The sequence below is a fragment of the Homo sapiens genome, chromosome 8 (genome assembly GCF_000001405.40).
Source record: "Homo sapiens chromosome 8, GRCh38.p14 Primary Assembly".
NCBI lineage: Eukaryota > Metazoa > Chordata > Mammalia > Primates > Hominidae > Homo > Homo sapiens.
Window position 1 is genome coordinate 101,751,316 of NC_000008.11, and position 19,007 is coordinate 101,770,322.

A 19,007-nucleotide genomic window follows, 5' to 3' on the forward strand; every position below is an offset into this window, starting at 1 on the left:
CAGGTTACCAGGGACTGGGATGTCGGGGCGTGGGGAAGGAGATGACTGGAGAGTTAGTGTTTCACAGGTACATAGTTTCTCTATGGAATGAAAAAAGTTCTGGAAATGGGTAATGGTGACAGTTATACAACATTTGAATATACTTAATGCCACTGAATTGTATGCCTAAAATTAGTTAAAATGGTAAATTTTTTGTTATGTTTACTTCACCATGGAAGGAAGGAAGGAAAGGAGGGAGGGAAATGAATCGCCCAGCTGTCCAGGGATAACATCTCCATGAAAGGGGAGGGCCCAGAATTCTACCCTGGCTTCCCAGCAGCCACATGTCACTGGGGCAGAACTTTCCTCAGTGACTGAGAAAAGATCAAAGACAAAGGAAACAATGATCTTCACAAGACCTGGCAAAGAGCACTTACTAAGTAGTCCTACTGAAAAATAATGGACTCCACAGTGATTTCTGCTTATTCGGGAGACAGCCTGCCCCAAAGGTGGGGGTCAGCCATGACTCAGCTTTCAAAGGCTGCCAGGCCCTTTGACCAGATGATAACCACATAATCCTGCTGTATTCTTCAGCACATGGTTTATGACCACGAATATTATTTATTTCCAAGTTAGAAGTATAAATTTATCAGGCATTTCCAGAAAAAGATTATTTCCCCCAAACAATGGCATGTTTTGGCTACTGTAAATATAAAACTTAATTCCATTACTTCTGCTCATTAAATATATATTTTAAAGTTTCCGATTTTATTATGCCATTAGAAACAGGTTTTCTCTTAAATATTTTGTATAATATGGTCATTTTCTTGGTCTTCTAAATGATCCTTGCTAAGAATACAATAAACAGTAAAATATATATAATTCATCCATAAAAAATGCAACTTCCAGCTATAATTCAGTGAAGTTGAATAGAAAGCATAACTTACATCTGCTTCTTTATTTCTAATAACTGTAAAAATAACTAAAATATTCTAGAGGTTATAGTCATGGAGACAGCACCACTACCTTAAAAAAGTAAAATATAATTTGTTGAGGAACATCTAAGTGGAAGAATTAAAAACTAACAGAGAAAAACAAACCTAACCAAAATAATTAAATTCTAGTTTCTCTCTTTTTTCAACTTGGATTAGTCCATAACAACTTAGTGGCCTGAAGTAACCACAACAAAGAGTGATTTCCAAACCTGGCAAATTTTAAAAGCTTAGATGAGTTGGAACACACAAAAGATAACCTATGTATCAGAAATCCAGGAGTGGTGGTCAAATAACATGAAATTATCTTGTGCTCTTTCATCCCCAAATTGAGTTTTCTTAAGCTTTATTTTCACCAAGTAAAGTGTTTGGACTAGGTTCCAATGCTAACGGACCATAAGGTAGAAAAAGAAAGCTGGTGTGATAAATAACGGATAAATAAGGTACAGCCCTGCTCTGCAAGAGCTAGCAATCTAGTGCTCAGCAATATAATGTGAGCTACAAATGTCAAATGATGTATGCAATTTGAAATATTTTAGTCACCACATTGAAAATTAAGAAGAAAACTTTATTTAACCAAAATGGAATTTCAACATGTAACAATTTTAAAAGTCACCAATGAAATATTTTACGATCCTCTTTTTTTGTTCTAAATCTCTGAAATTCAACATGTATTTTATTCTTACAAGCCATCCCAATTTGAATTTCAATGCTCAATTTCACGTGCTCAGTAGCCACATGTGGCCAATGGTACCATGTTGAACAGGAAAGATAGCGGGAGGCACAGAGAATATACAAATAATTCAAATGCATGACTGTCTCTTATTAGGGCTATAAAAGAGACATAAATAAAACATCCAGGGCACCTTCAAAGAGGTGGTTGCATCCGAATTGAGTCTTGAGAATCTTAAAGTTAAGAAATGGTATAATCGGGCTTGAATTGTATAAAGGGCTGACTGGTGGATGAAGGGAAGATCAGATGGGTGGGATAAGAAGAGAGAGAAGGAATCAAGAGCGTAGATGGGAGATATTGAGAACCTGGACAAAGGCCAATGTGAATTTAAGAGGTATTTTTAAGGTAGAATTAGGAACTGGACCTGTAGAGACAATATATGACACTGCTGGTGGTTACCCACAACCATTTCTCTTCACTTTCCTGTTAACAAAAACTTGATTTCGTTCAGGAATTTTACACCCTCTACAATGTCATGTTTTTAGGGAAGATGAAAAGATCCCCAGTCCCCAGAGAATAGATATTGATTAGCGTAAGGCAGTTACAATAACTTTATCTTACCATGGACTGGCTTGGGAAGGGACTTGGGATCCAATTTTGGCCAATAGGACAAGTCAGTCTGCAAGGGTAGGGGTGGGGTTCCAAGAAGGGCTTCTTAGATCTTAAGACACAAGGAAGGGATAGTCTCTTTCTGCGTCTAGTGCGTGGTGTGGTGAGGATGAAATGCCTGGAACTGATGCAGCCAATGTATCACTCTGAGGTGGGTGAGTCAACCAAGAACTGAGATTAGCAGAGTGGAATTATGGACTCCTGATGGCATTATTAAACCACAGAATTAGCCAATCCTGGAAGCACTCTACCTCTGGACTTCTTGTTCTGTGAGATAACATATGATTTAAGATATTTTGGGTTATCTCTTATTTACAGTTGACAGCATCCTAATAAATAGGAAAAGAGAAGGATCCAGACAATGCCCCAACCACTGGTAAGAACCGTGAGGTCTTTCCTTTGCACAGCATGTCAGAGCCTGTGAAGTGCTTTCACCTTATGTCCTCATTGGACCCTCCTAACAGCCCTGGGGGGTGTGTCGACAGGTACCACTCTCTGCTTTCACCTGCAAGGTAGAGCCCTCTCCCTAGCTTTCCTTTGCATTTCCAGCAACCAGTACAGTATCTGGAATAATAATTTTAGCTATCATTTAGCTATCATTTCTTGGGCTTTTTCTGTATGTTGGAAACTGTTGGATGTTTCCTATACAAAATCTGACTTTATTCTCTCATTTACAATATCTTACAACAGCTCTACAAGTTGGGTATTGTCTTAGTCTATTGGTGCTGCTATAACAAGATGTCATAAACTGGGGAACTTACAAACAGCAGAAATTTATTCCTCACAGTTCTGGAGACTGGGAAGTCCAAGATGAAGGTGGCAGCAGATTTGATATCTGATATGAGGGCTGGTTTCCTGCTTCATAGAGGGCAACTTCTTGCTGTGTCCTCATGTGGTGGAAGGGGCAGTGGTCTCTCTGGGGCCTCTTTTATAAGGGCACTAATCCCATTCATGACATAATCACTTCTCAAAGGTCTCACCTCCCAATACCATCACCTTAGGGGTTAGGATTTCAACATATGAGTTTGGGGGATGCAAACATTCAGACCATAGCAGGTGTTATCACCATCTAACAGATGAGGGAATTGAAGCTCAGGAGGGTTAAGTTCAAGGTCTCCAGGTAGTGACAGAGGTACAACCTGAACCCAGGTGTCTCTCTGTAAAGGCTGTGTTCTTTACCACCAAGATACACTCGGCACAGGGCCAGTCCATATGTTTATTGAATGAATGAATGAATGAATAAATGAATGAATGGATGGATGAATCAATCAGTCAAAAAATAAATGGATGTTCCAAGAGATTAAGTACCTTACACAAGGTCACTCTGCTAAAGAGCGATCCAGACAGGTCTTCTAACTCCAAGGCCAGTGCCCTTCCTAGCACATCCTATGACTATACTATCACTTATTTGGTACTTGGTTAGACACCACCTTGGATGGTGACTGATAATTTCTTTGTGTGTGAGTCTCATCTCTGCAACTAGACTGTCAATTCTTTGAGGTGGCACCATCTTATTTTGTTTGTAGCTAACATAGCAATCAGAATAATGCACTGTTCACAGTTAAAGTCTTGATTTTTAAAGAAACTACCTTCAAAATACAAATGACTCTAACTCCTGGTTTGCCCTCAACAGTCCCAGTTGATACCGCTGCCCCAACTTCAGTATTAGTAATGTTCCTTTTTACTCTCAGAAGTATTCCCGTTTGGACAATCAATTATATAGTCACCTTAATCATGGTAAACAAGAGTTCAATTTGGCCTGTTTCAGATATGCTCTGTCAACCACGCCCAGCACAGCTGTCTTTGCCTAAAGATGGATCCAACAGCCATCAGGGTTCATGATCAATGCTGGGACACAGATCATTTTCATGCTCATGACTCTTCCTTACCTCTTTCCTCCACCATTCACCCTATCTTCTCCTGTCTCTCAAAATATCTTCTTTTTTCTATTACTGCTTTACCCTCCAGCAGCTTTTCCAGCCCGCATCTCACATCCTAAGGCTTGCAGGCAGAAACCAGGGAATAGGTTTTAAAAAGCCAGGGAAATACATTGTAACATTGCTCCTACAGCCTCACTGCTGTTCTTGGCTGAAATCCTTTCCAACATAAGATAACACTCCTTTGTAAACAGCAAAATAGGAGAAAACAAACCTTTTGTGACTAACCATTTACTTTTGGCTTCCATGTCCTGTGTGAATATGTATGCATTGTGAATGTGGGGACACACAGTAAATCAGATGACTCTTTTACCAGTGAAAACATATAGTGGTGACAAGAGATTCTCAACAGGTTAAATGCTACTATGAGCTCACTTTGAACCACTTCAAGTTCTGGAATCATGACTGATGTGGGGAGAATAAGAAGCAGAACAATTCCTAAACACACACTGTGTGCTGAGCTGTCATCAGACGGGACCTGCCAGAGATTAAGTTTTTGTCCATCTCCCTTCCCCCACCTTTTTTTTTTTTAAATCAAGACAAATGTCAGAAAATCAGATCAGAAGTGGCCTCATTGATGAGTATAAATGTACCGCTAGTGGCTCCATTGTCTATGGAGATAAGTGTTTCAAGGTCCTTTATTTTGAGGATTTAACAGAAAAGCTGGTTCACTGTTTTGGTGAAGGACCTTGGGAGAAAGCTTCCATGAGGTGACAGATCATTAAGAGGACTTCACTCAGCACAACTGGGGCTGTCCTGAGACCCAAGATGTCACTGTATAGGTAAACTCTCCTGGCTGGCACATTCTCTTGGCCTGAATGGTCAGCACGACCAGCTAGGATTCCCTGCAACAATGGATAGGCAATGAGTATCAGACTGTACCTGGCCCGTGTTCAACAGCGCCACTGTGTGGCAGTGAAAAGCAAGTGCAGGGTAGACCAATGAGACCTCAGCAGTCTATGCTATGCATTTGGAAGTCAAGGGCCATCTTTGCACGGAATAAGCCCTGGAGATTTCAGGACAATTAAGAGGAGGAAAAAGAACAAGACAGAGATACTGGTTTGCCTGCTAATGAGGTATATTGGATTTCCGAAGAATTAACTAAAATAAGAGGGATGCAACTTTACCTGCACTGCCGTTTGTGAGTGGTTCTCACCAGTTACAAATGCACCTGACAAGAGAATCTGACTGGATGAGATTTTTCTGGTAAGAATATGGCTTGATATACATTGTATGTCTTGTTTTGCAATTATTAAATTTATCCTATTAGAATCTCTACTATGCAGTACATAAGGAATTGACTGACTTTTTCACCTGGCAATGAATAATGCCACAGTACCATGACCACCTTTCCAACATGGGTGTGGCTGAGAACTTCTGGAAGGATGAACACAATCAAAGACAATACTGGCTCCCTTCTTAGTCTCTTATGTCTCTGTCTTTTCTTTAAGATTTATTATTCTTTAGGAACAACATTTTTCCAATAAGCAAAAACTATTTCATGCCATAATCCTTTTTTCTTCCTCTTGCTTCCTCCTGAGTTCCATGTCAATATTTACACATCGCTGCTCACTCCTACTGTTTACCCACCATGGCCTTCAGATCCTGTCCTCAACCTCTCATCAAATAACCTCACATTTTCCATTATTCACTAGAACCTCTCATAACATTTCCATTTCAACAGAAAACAACTTTCTAAGGTCAAGTACTAGTTTCTCTTTTAAAAAGAAAAGTAACTGAACATTCAAGGTGCTATGGCAAGCCATGAGAATACTAGGTAAAGCTATGTGTTACTTTCCAACTGTTCGCTCCATTGTCCTTATCTCTCCGGAACTTAAAACAGAGCATGTCCTGACCTCTGAGGGCTGCAGAGACAACTACTCATAGAGGGCCAGTCATCTCTAGTTTCTGTGACTTTCCCCAATGAATAAGAAGGAGGTAGAGAAGAGCAAGAAGAAAAATGGCTGTCATTCTTTTTATTCCCAGGTCTAATGAAGTATTTTGAATTCCAATGTTCCAAAAATATTTCATTTTTTTCATGAATTTGTGAAATAATTTTTCACTTGGCCTTCTTCATCACCCCAGTTCTAGATGGTAGGGTTTTTTTTTAATATCAATTTTACCTAAAAATTTATTATAGTGTTTCCCCTTTCTCTATCCCTGTATTAATTAACCTTGCCTCCACTCTACCTTCATTTATACCTAGCAAAGTGCCTGGGACACAGTAGGCCTTCAACAAATATAGTGAAGTAAATGTGAACATAATTTCTTGTTTGCACTACTGTACTCATTTCCTAACCCAACCATCAGAGAGGCTATTTTAACAATTTTTTTAGAGCCTCCCACCTCCCAAGTAGCTAGGACTACAGTTGTGTGCTATCACACCCAGATAACTTTTTATTTTTTGTAGAAATGGGGTCTGGCCATGTTGCCCAGCTGGTCTCAAACTCCTGGCCTCAAACATTCCTCCTGCATCAGCCTCCCAAAGCACTGGAATTACAAGTGTGAACTACCATACTGCCTGATTTTTAAACTCACATCTCTTTATGCCACTTTCCTGCTCACCAATACCAATAAATCCCCACTGTCTTCAATGTCATGTCTGATCCTTCAGTCTAATACTACAAATGGCTTTGTAATCTGGCCCCAGCCTGCCTTGCCTAAAGCACTTGACCCTCTCTCCACCCGCTCCTGCTCCAACTCCACAGAAAGGCAGGCCCTTCTTAGCAGGCCCCAGCTCTCCCCCTCCATAGGCTGTCTCCTGCTGACATCCCAGTCTCCACTGTTCCTACTCATCCTGCCTGGATTCCCACCAAATAAAGCCTGAAACAAGTGCTTACTTTCCAATGACAAATCACCATTGATCCTGGGTGACAAATACTGTCTTGAGCACTTTATATAACACTGCAGTATTTCCTTGAATCCCAATACCAATAAAAGCTATGTATTAATTCATTCAGTAATCTGTTCCTCCCATGAATTATGGCAGATCCAGGATTTAACCCTATATGTCTGTCATCAAAGACCAGGTGCTCTTACTCACCACATCCACCACATGTCTTCTGTCCCCATGTGTCCTGACTCTAGGCATGCACCTCTCATACCTCTCGGACCTGTCTATGGTATTCATTACATTGCAAGAGAGTTCTGTCTACAGATTAGAGTTCCCTCACAGGATTATGAACACCTCAATAGCAGGCCTGGTGTTTATATATCTGTTCATCTCTAGTGTCTAGCATAGTGCTGGGACACAGGATGTGTAAAATACTTTTTTTTTGTAGTTTAATTTGAATCTGTGCATCCAATAATAAGAAAGATCCCAACCTACTTAAATTGGAGAGTTGCATCACATGTAGATCTTAGAGCTCTTTTACTACAAAGTACAAATCCAGTGGCCCAATTGGATAATAAGGATGCTGAATCTCCACTTGCCATCCCCAACTTACTTCATACATCAATATTTTTAACTCATTTATAGGAACCTGGCATTGTGATATTCGTGACAACCATCTATAATTCAACCAGCCAAGCACACCAGCAGAAACCGCCCACATTTTCAATAACAGCATTGCTTAATCCGAAATGCTTTTTGGAAGACAAAGAAGCATTCATAAAATGGAACAGTAGTGAATGTTGATAATGAGAAAGTTTTATAACAAAGTGTCTTGCTGATTTATATAGTACTTCCAAGCCAATGGCTAGAAGAAATTTTGATAAAGATTCACTCTCCTAAGCCTAGGCGACATGCCAGAAAGTTGTCAGTGTCTTCGAAGACAAAGAAACTGAGAGAGGGAGAGGGGGAAAAGGAGGGAAGGAAGAAGAGAGTCAGGGAAGAGGAGGAGGAGGAAAGAGAGAGACAGGGATTGCTTTTAATATCTTGATACACCAATGGGGAAAATTGTATGCAGTAAAATGAGGAAAACATCCCAGATTATTTTCTGGAAGGACTTGTCATCTGAATTCAAAGTGGGTCTTGAAGGTATCCCAGGGACCTGCCTGCTGTCAGGGCTAGGAGAGCAATGTTCTCTTTCCTGCAATTATTTCAATTCTGCCACACAATAAGGAGTCCTGGGGGCCAAGGAACAGGGAACTGCATTACTAGACATACATCCCTCAAAGAAGACCAGACAAAATTACCAAAGTTTCAGGTGACCAGACTGAATTTCCAGGAGCTACAGTCACTTCCTTTGTGCAAAAAATATAAAAATGTACAGCTACTCCCAAAACTTGACGAGAGTAGTAACATCTGTCATTCGGGGCATCAGATAAAAATGTATCATCAGTAAGGGCACATGGCAGGCTTAGGTAGAGGGAGAGACTGGGCTGATCCCTGATTAAACAATACCTAGCACTTACTCTCCCTTAGTAGTTCAATTAAGGGCAGTGGCGCTTGCATTTAGACACTGCGGTTCCCAAGGCCACACCAGACCCCAAGGGGTTGGTCAAGTCAAAGATGGTGGGCAATAAACAAGCTGACCCAAGGTTATGGCTCCAGTCCCATGAGCCTGGTTTTGACATGATTCTCCAAGGGCTACTGACTGATAATACACAGATTAGGTCTGGTTAGAGAACATCTCTTCCCATTTCCTCCAGCAGAACACCTCAGATATTGACAATTTGTCACGCCAAGAACACATAGACTGAATTTTCCACTCCTCCCACGCTGTTTGGCTGGCCTGGCTAGCAACGGGCTTTATTTTTACAATGCTTATCACTCTGCAGCTTTACCTCCAGGCCAGTGGGCTCTGAAGCAGCTGGAAACCAGAGCCAGCTGGGGGCCCTCCACTGAGCAGCCACCACTCAGAGCAAGCAAGAAGAAAAGGATTGCCACAGGCCATACTGCAAAATATTCTGGGAAGGACAGATGACAACAGGAGGGGGAAGGGACCTCCATTCATCCTAAAGTAAATGCAAACTGACGTCTGGATTAGGGGTGGCTGAGGTTCCCAGAGAGCGTCTGGCTGTCTTAACTAAATGCAGCAAACCTCTTGCTAATTCAGATAGATGAAGAAAAGCCAGCGTGCATTCGTGAAATTCCAGAACCACAGCGCATAGGCTGTTTCTGTCAAGTCCATACAGCAACTCAGCTTTAAGTTAAACATAAGTTTTCAAGTTGAGGTGTGGCTATAGCCTATGTTATTGAATCTATCTCACTTGCCATAAGCAGTAGTAATTTACATTCAAATAGTTAATGAAGTTAAGTCATGCAAAGGTTTGCTTTCATGAATATAATAACAGCACCCCTTATACTCTTGTTTATTATATTTATTTACCCAGTTTGGCCTTTCTTCAAAGGCATCATAGAGATAAAGCCAAAGCCAGGTCAGGTCAAATCATAAATTTCAAGTTAGTAGAGTGCAAATGGGTGAAGTTTTCCCTTTATAGTTAGAAGCCCTGTGTTCTATCCACTTCCTCCTGGGAGCTGTGAAAAGTTTGAACAGATGTTCACATTCGGGTGGGGGCGGGGGGAGGGATGCTTTACTGCTGCTCTATTGACTTCCTCCAGCAGGATCCGTTTCCATGTCCTTATGGACTAGAGAGAACAATTCCACCAGCTTAACTGCTACCTGGGGGAGGGGCAGCCTGAGATCCTGGTTCCCATGAATCATGATGAATTAAGAAAGGAATGTGGGATGCCATGAAAACACACTTAGCTCTGTCTTTTAGTTCTCAAAATTAGGTCAGCAACTTTGCCGGAGCAGTAGCTTCATCTTTGGGTGCTTTAACGAGGCATCCAATCATCTGGAACATGAAGCCATTTAGTCAAAGTTTATTTTTTGCATCTGTGTTACTACAGCAGCCTCCCCCAGCTTAGAATGAAGGGCGTGTGAGCATGGGGAGAACCCACTTATGACTATGTTGCCCTGTGACATTTTTTTTCCTGCAGTGTTTACCCTGGGATTGAATAGTGTTTGGTTTTGGCAGTATAATAAAAACTCTCCAGAAAATCTCTTGGATGAAAGTGCATTCACCAAATCACCCAATCAGGAAATATTTATTAAGAACTTATCATTTGAAGGCACTGAGAGTGTAAAATGCAGCCCTACCCTTTAAGACCTTATTATTTAGTTGGAGGTGACAGCAGTATTTACAGATATGGCTAATCAGGGACTTATTTGTTTCCCAGTATTCAATCTCCCCTTCTTCCTTTTAGTAATGGAATCCAGAGCTGCGCACGCAGCTACCCTACAGACTAGGTTTCACAGATTGGCTTAAGCATGGCCAGGTGACTAAGTTCTGGCCAATCAGTTGTGAGTAGAAGTGAAATGTACAACTTCTGGGTCATACCTTAAAAAGAAACCACTTACTCACTTTTTCTCTTCCCCCGTTTCGGGGCCTCGAATGTACATGTGGGAGTATAATCCAAATTCCACTATCTGAGGAGAACAACATAGTAGGGAATGGTGGAGCAAAACTATGGAAGGAGTTGGGCCCCTAATGACCTTGGGAGCATAAGGGCAATTCTTCTCCCTTAATTCTTCAGCTGAGATGAGAGACAGCAAGAGAAAGAACCCTTCTATCTTGTTTAAGCCACTATTACTTAGTCTCTGTTAAATCAGCTGAATCAATATCCCGACTAATATATATGCATTTTCCCTAAATAGACCAGGAGCTTCTGGATACCTCTTTATTTCCCCAACCCCCCCACAGAGCCTTCATAAAGTAGGTGCTCACCCCATATTTGTGGATCATAATACAAAGATCTAGCTAATAAAAATTCCATTTTGCTCTGGTGAGATAATTTAATACTATTATATGTACTATAAAAAGATAAAAGGGTTAACTGTAAGTTCCTTATAAAGGAAATCTCCAAAATGATGTCTGGCTTGGCTTAAGAGACTTAGGAAAAGGCAAGAGGAACATAATATTAATCTATTAATTTCTGAAAGGTGAAAATATTTCAAAACAAGGAGATTTTATCAGATGGCTGACACAGAGATAAGAGAATAAACCTTAGCTTATGGTCAAACATGATTATATAAATCAGCACTGGTCTACAGACACTGCTATCTGGACAAAGTCTACTTTTTTTTTTTTTTTTTCTGTCACCCAGGCTGGAGTACAGCGGTGTGATATCGACTCACTGCAACCTCCATCTCCCAGGTTCAAGCAGTTCTCTCCCTCAGCCTCCCAAGTAGCTGGGGTTATAGGCGCTTGCCACCACGCCTGGCTAATTTTTGTATTTTTAGTAGAGATGGGGTTTCGCCATGTTGACCAGGCTGGTCTTGAACTCCAGACCTTGTGATCCACCCGCCTTGGCCTCCCAAAGTGCTGGGATTACAGGCATGAGCCACCACGCCCAGCCAAGGCCTACTTTTAATAAAAAATGGACAATAGATGCTCAACTGAAGAAACTTACCTAATATCAGCACCTCTTGCCTATGATTCTGTTAGGTACTGTTTTAGGATAGCTTTACTACTTATTAACTGTGGGACCCTAGCAAATTACTTAATTCCTTTAAGTCCCAGTTTCTTTATCTCTACAATGGCAATTCATCCAACAAATATTTATCGAGTGTATGTATACTACATATCAGGCACTGTGCTAGGCATTCTGTCTCAGGCAAACAGAAAAATTAATAAAATTATATGGAATATTAAAAAACAATAAATACTATGGATAAAGTTAGAGTAAAGGAGACCAGGAATACCGGTGGCAGCAATTCAAATATGGTGTTCTGGAACAGGGCTCCTTGAGCAATGATTGTGGCTTAAATTAGGGTGGCAGCAATGCAAGTGGCAAGCTATGGTTGAAGTCTGGGTAGGTGTTGAAGGTAAACAAAATTTTCTGACAGGTTGTAACTGAGATATGAAAGGAGGAAATGACTCCAAGGTTTTTGGCTTGAGCTAAAACTGGAAGGGTGACGTTGGTAACCAATGACAGGGAAAGGTACAGAGTCACATTTGCCCAAAAGATCGACAGTCTAATTTTCAGACGTGCTGTGTGTGATCGTTCATCTTATGTGTCAACTTGATTGGGCCACAGGGTGTCGGATATTTGGTCAAATATTATCCTGGGTATTTTATGAGGGTGTTTTTGGATGAGATTACCATTTGAGTCAGCAGACTAAGTAAAGCAGTTGTCTTTCCTAATGTGAGTGGACCTCATTCAGTCAACTGAAGGCCTGAATGGAACAAAAATCTGACCCTCCTCCAAGTAACAGAGAATTTCTCCTGCCAAATTGCCTTCAAACCATGACATTGGCTTTTTTCTTGCCTTCAGACTTGAACTAAAACATTGGCTCTTCCTGGGTGTTGAGCCTGCTGGCCTTTGGAATGGAACTACACCATCACCTCTCCTGGGTCTCCCGCTTGCCAAGTCACCCTGCAGATCTTGGGACTTGCACACCTCCACAATCAGATGAGCCAATTCTTTATGACAAATTTCTCTCTCTCTCTCCACACACACACACACACACACACACACACACACACACACACACACACACCCCCTATTGGTCTGTCTCTCAAGAGAACCTTAAATAATGCACTGAGCTTGGGATGCCCATTAGATATTCTAGTCGAGTAGTAGGTGGACGGATCTGAGTCTGGAATTGGGACTGAGTTGAAAACTGGTACTATATATTTGGGAATCACTGGCACAAAAACTGTATTCAAAGCCATAAGACTGGATGTGCTCATTGAGGGAATCAGTATTGATAGGAAAGAGGAACAATTACTGAATCCTCCAACATCTAAAGATCAGAGACTTTGGCTGCAGACATTGAGAAGGAGCAGCTGTCGAGATAGGAGGAAGCCAAGAAAGTGTGGTGTCATGACCAAGGGGAGTATCACAGCAAGGAGGAAGGGGGGATCCCCTGTACCAAATGCTGCTGTTGGTCACTGCCACTGGAAAATGCCATTGCATTTTTAGCAATATAGTGGCCACTGGTGACCTTGACAAGAAAAATAACACTGGAGAAGTGGCACCAAAGTCCCATTGGAGTGGGTTTAGGATGAATATGAGGAGGGAAGTCAGAGGTAATGAGTACAGCCCCCTTTGAAAGACCTTTGCTTAAAAGGAGTGCAGGAAAATGGGATAGTTGTTGGCAGGGAAAAAGAGGTCAAGAGAAAGTGTTATTTTTGTTTTGTTTTTAAAGGGAGCACTACCAGCATGCTAATAATGTCATTAGCTGCCATTTATGGAGCACTTCACTGTGGTGGCAGGTGCTTTGCATGTGACACTCAATTTAATCCTCCTAATAGTTTTGCAATGTAGACATTAACATCTTTATCTTTCATGCAGGGAAACAGATGCTGAAAGAACATGAGAAACTTTACAAAACCACAGTCAGAAAGTGGCTGTGTCAGGATTTAAACTCATGTTGTTCTAACTTGAACACAGGGACTTTTTACTACTACAGTCTATTGGCTCCCATGATAGAGTCTGCTAATCATAGAGCCTGCCTCCTGCGGCAAGATCAGGCATGTGAAGGTACCAGGCAAATATGAATCTTCAGGATTCTCATCAGTATGTAGGAAGCTCCTAATCGTATAGAGCAGTATGCAAAGAGATTTGTATCCTTCTGTGGCCCCAACCTTTAGGAACAAGATGTATAATACAGTTATCCTAATATAGACTTCTATACACGGCACTCCAGGCAAACAGAACTTACATCACATCCAAGGAGGGGAACGAACAGTAGCATGCAAATTCTATTTTCAGATTAAGCAGGGGAGTGAAAAGAAGTCCTGTCCTTTTTTACCTAGCACACTGGTGTGGATCCAAGGAGCTTCATAAATATTTGCTGTTCCTGCAGTTGCTGCATTAAACTGAGCGGGGCAATGTTCCAGAGAGAGAATGCCTTGGGAAGGCTCATCACTATCCTTGGCAATGAGAACTACTGGGGTCTCCGGCTATTGTCAAACCCCGACATGTGCAAAAAACATCAGATTAAACCAAGAATAAATCCATCTGCAATATTACAGATTCCTTTAAAAAACATGCATAATTAAAAATTTTCTTCTTGGTGAAAAGTAAGATGCTCCTGGAATCTTTGTTCATGCTCAGAATAAGATTTGATTATCTAGCTTATGGGGACTCCTGGGCTGAAGACAGGTGGGTGTGTGTATGTTGGGGAGGAGTAGGAAGGGGGAGAGAAAGTATCTTCCAAACTCAAAGCAACTGGCAGGGACCGCAACAGCGAGCAGGTCAAGAGCATAAGGAAACTCCCTCGTTAAGCACCAGGGTGCCCTGGAAACAGCCATTTCAATTAGTGCCAGACTGAGCTGAAATGAAGATTAAGAGGTCATTTCAAACAATAGCTCAAGGATAATTTGCTTAGCATACAGATCTCTACTACCATATACTTCTGCTCTGCAATGCAGCATTAACCTCATTTACTGTTTAGTTCTACAGGGCACATATTACTAGTCAGAAAGCCCCCTTGTTTCTCATATAGAAAACTCTACTGAAAGTCTCACGTGCACATGTCATTCTCAGTGGAGGCCACTGATGATGTTGTCCCACATGCTCTTTATGGTCCCTTGCCCGCAACCCACCAACATCTCCTTATTTTCGTTATTCTTAACTTTTAGGGAAAGTTTCTTTTTGGACAAAATAGCTCACATTTAGTGTATTCACAAAAGTGTCCTTTGAATTTTTTCAGAGGTCCCCCAATCATATCTGAGTATGACATGGGAAAATGTTAGAAGCCTGCCCATCAGGAGAAAAAGAAGCAGTAAATTCCATTTTAAATTGGAAACAATTGGCCTTCATTTATAATCTTTAACATGTTTTTCTTGATTACAGGAATAATACAAGCTCATTGAAAACAAATTCGCCAGACAGAAAAACATAAAAAATACATGAAAAATGTCTTGAAATCTTATCCCTTAAAGGGGATGATTAACAATTTGGTGTATATCCTTCCAGATTTTTCTTATATATGATACATACATATCAGAGATCCCTAACCTGAGCTTCTAAGTTGTGTGTGAAATTTTGTGTGCATCTATACATAAGTGTTTTAAAAGGGACCATAACTTTCATCAGTTTCCAAAGAAGTTTCTTTGTTTGTTGTTTTTGTTTTTGTTTTTTGAGATGGGGTCTGTCTGTCACCCAGGCTGGAGTGATCTCAGCCCACTGCAACCTCTGAATCCTGGGTTCAAGCGATTCTCATGCCTCAGCCTCCCGAGTAGCTGGGATTACAGGCGCATGCCACCATGCCTGGCTAATTGTTTTGTATTTTTAGTAGAAATAGGGTATCATCATGTTGGCCAGGCTGGTCTCGAACTTCTGACCTCAGGTGATCCGCCCACCTGGGCCTCCCAAAGTGCTGGGATTACAAGCGTAAGTCACTGCGCCTGGCCCCGCAAAGAAGTTTTAAAACTATATATGTATACATACACATAATATACACACTCCTGTTTAATTTACAACAATTTAATCATACTCTATGTATAGTTCTGTAACTCATTTTTTTCCACTTATGGACATCTTTCCATTTTAGTAATAGTTGTTGTTCCTGCTATCATTTTATTCTCAGTTGAGTTTTCCCCCTTCAGGTACCAGAACCTAGAGCTTAGAGACAGGCAGACCTGGCTTGGCCTCCTGGTTCCACCACTTACAATCTCTGTAAGTTTGGCCAGTTACATAGACTTTAGCAGTCTCAGTTTGGTTATCTGTAAAGTCAAAATAATAATAGATGTACTAGAATTATAATAAAAATACTGCAAGTAATAAGTAACAAAATGTATTTTAGGCAGTCAGCACTTAAACAATAACTGGCATAGAGTAAATATTCAATAAATAAATACTAGTGTTTTTCATTGATAGAATCCATTGACTGAATGGAAACACACACATACACATAAAACAACATCTGGAGAAGGTTTTTAAAATCAGGTCTTAGGATGACAATAAAGTAGACTATTGAGAATGAAGCTGAAGCCACATTCTGGGATAAGACGGTATTTTCCATTCATTGGGAGTAAGCAAGCAAATGATGATTATACAGCTGCATATGTTCTAATGGATAAGGTGTCAGCCCTAACCATGATGGCTAAGGAAATTGCCTATGGACTCAACTGATCTGGACTTCTCTCCTCTGGACCCTAACCCTCTTCTACGATGTTGAGAAGGTCATGATCCTTACCATTCCATGTTGGGATTTGCCCAGGTTTTACTACAAGTTCTTAGACTTTGCATCTGCAAATGCTGCAAGTTCAATGTAAATGCAGAATTCCACTTTCCCTGCACAATGCTAGCTGTCAGCCTCATGGATTAACTGGGGAATGGCTTTGCCTGTGGCCTGACCCACAGCTTTCTCTGCCCTGCTTGTGGCCACTCTTCACTCCTGGTGTTTGTTCTCTGCAGGTTAGAGCAAGAGTAGGCCTGTTGAACTACTCTGCCCATAGTCAGTAACTGGGCAACAGCTATATGTCAGGCGTGTGCCAAAAACTTTGCATATTTTATTTTCCTAATCTCACAGCAATTCTGGAAGTTATCATCTCTGTTTTTCAGATACAGAAATTGAGGCATAATTAAAATAAGGAACTTGGGCAACATTTCACATGTAGTAAGGGGGAGACTCAGCATTTGAACTGCTTCAATCTAGAGCCCTGTTACCTATAAACTCTACCACAATCAGCTTTTGATTCTGAGTGGTGAGCTATAATACATGTTACATTTGCAAGACTCTGGTGGAAAAGAAGAAAATGTCAGTCTAGTGCCCACCAGAAATTTCCCTCAGACAGAGCAGAGTCCACAGCACCAGCAGATCTTATTCTCACAGGAAGTCTGGCTGCAGGATGGCATGGTCACACCAATAGTCTATATCTGCAGGTCACAGCTGTAATTAACTCCTTCAGAGTTGTAGGAGGGCGGCCAATGAGAAAACCAGTCAGAAAGGGTAAATTAGCCTGGTGCGGTGACTCAGGCCTGTAATCCCAGCACTTTCGGAAGTGGTGGCCGAAGGGCCACCTGAGGTGAGAAGTTCGAGACCAGCCTGGCCAACATGGTGAAGCCTCATCTCTACTAAAAATACAAAAATTAGCCAGGTGTGGTGGTGCATGCCTATAATCCCAGCTACTTGGGAGGCTGAGGCACGAGAATTGCTTGAACCCGGGAGGCGGAAGATGCAATGAACTGAGATCGTGCAACTGCACTCCAGGTTGGGTGACAGAGTGAGACTCCATCTCAAAAAACAAAAAAACAAAAAAAAAAAAAGAAAGAAAGCAAGAAAGAAAAAAGAAACTTTAAAAAAAGAAGGGGTAAATTAATTTATCTATGATCTCAATGTCTGTGGTAGGCAGAATAATGGTCTTCCAAAGATATTCACATCCTAATCCCTGAAACCTGTGAATGGGTTGCTTTGCAGGGAAAAAGGGATTTTTGCAGAACTGATTAAGAATCTTGAGGAGGGAAGGTTATTCTTATTCTGGATTATTCAGGTGTGTCCAGTGTTATCACAGGTTCTTTTAAGAGGGAGGCAGGAGCTTTGGAGTCAGAGGTGAGGTGATGGTGGAAGCAAGGTCTGAGTGCTGTGGGCTGTGAGCTAAAGGAAGGCAGTCAATGTCAAGAAGCTGGAAAAGTCAAGAAGACAGCTTCTCCCCTAGACCCTCAGAGGGAAAGGCTGCTCTGTTGACCTTTAGGCTTCTGACCTCCAGAACTGTAAAATAATCAATTTGTTGTTTTTAGGCCACTAAATTTGGGATGATTTGTTATAGCAGCAGTAGAAAACTAATACAATGTCTACTTCTTGTGTTCTATAACCATAGTGTCCAGTATTAAACTTGACGTTCTATGCTCAATTTATTTATATCCATATAATGTCTCCTAGTATTTCAAACAGCTCATTAGTGATGTCCTAATTGCTCTAGTTCTCCCTCTTCATAAAGAAAATGAATTATAATATACTACCTATAAGCTTTTAAGTGAACATACTCTAGATATTTCCAAACCTAATAGACCATATTCCTTTCCGTTGGAAAATAACCTAGGCGTGCCATCCTCGAAGTGGCTCACATTGATTCACTGACCCACAGCTTACAAAACTAAAACCAGCAGGCATGATTAGAAGTAAATGCACATTTATTTTCTTCTTTCTTTCTTCCTTTTTTTTTTTTCTTTTTGCTGAGACACTGGCGAACATTTCCAACACTTACCTGCAACGGCATCTTTCACCAGCTCAACTGTATGAAGGTTAAAAACTCTTCCTAATTTTGATTCTAATAAATGACTTGAAGAAAAGTGTGTCCCTGTTTGTTTACGTCTATAAATTTAGAAGCACTGTGAAATCTCAAACAAAATTAGCCTGGGGATGCGGAGAATCAGGTAACCTAATTAACAAAGGCTGAGCCACTTACATTCTCAGGACTCTGGATCAATGCTGGCCAGCCTAACTGAAGGGAGAGCAGACAAGCCCTGGATGGGAGAACCAACAGCTCAGAGACGGAATTCTAACATGAACAAAGATCATTCACAGATTGATGAAGCTTTTGTTGTTCTTGGCATTGAGCATAAAGAAAAGAAGAGGCCTATAGTTGTAAAAGTTTCCTAACACCATCATTATTATTTGAATAAGCCAGGAAACATCAGATCCCAGAAATGCATCCTTTGTGGCCATATATTTCAGGAAGAGAGCTTTGATTTTCAGAAATCCTGCTGCATGGCCCTGTGCTCTCCAACTGGATACCAAAATAACCAATGTTTTCATGCAGGTACTAGACTGGTTTGAAGAGCTAAGGAACATTAGTTGGTTCTCTTGTATTATTCATTTCTAAAAATCAAGAGCTCCAAGCAGCTGCATATGC

The 19,007-nt window shown here is 41.0% G+C and overlaps 1 protein-coding gene across 24 annotated transcripts in view, besides 2 other annotated features; it reads right to left on the minus strand.

Moving 5' to 3' along the window:
- NCALD (neurocalcin delta) overlaps window positions 1-19,007 on the minus strand; it is a 438,366-nt gene that overhangs the window by 64,774 nt on the left and 354,585 nt on the right. The window lies entirely within an intron of this gene.
- Window positions 14,489-14,578: an enhancer, noted in NCBI's record as "active region_27734". NCBI's record gives its function as "activates an Ori minimal core promoter by ATAC-STARR-seq in GM12878 lymphoblastoid cells {active_cell/tissue: GM12878}" and the evidence as "EXISTENCE:reporter gene assay evidence [ECO:0000049][PMID:35858748]".
- Window positions 14,729-14,788: an enhancer, noted in NCBI's record as "active region_27735". NCBI's record gives its function as "activates an Ori minimal core promoter by ATAC-STARR-seq in GM12878 lymphoblastoid cells {active_cell/tissue: GM12878}" and the evidence as "EXISTENCE:reporter gene assay evidence [ECO:0000049][PMID:35858748]".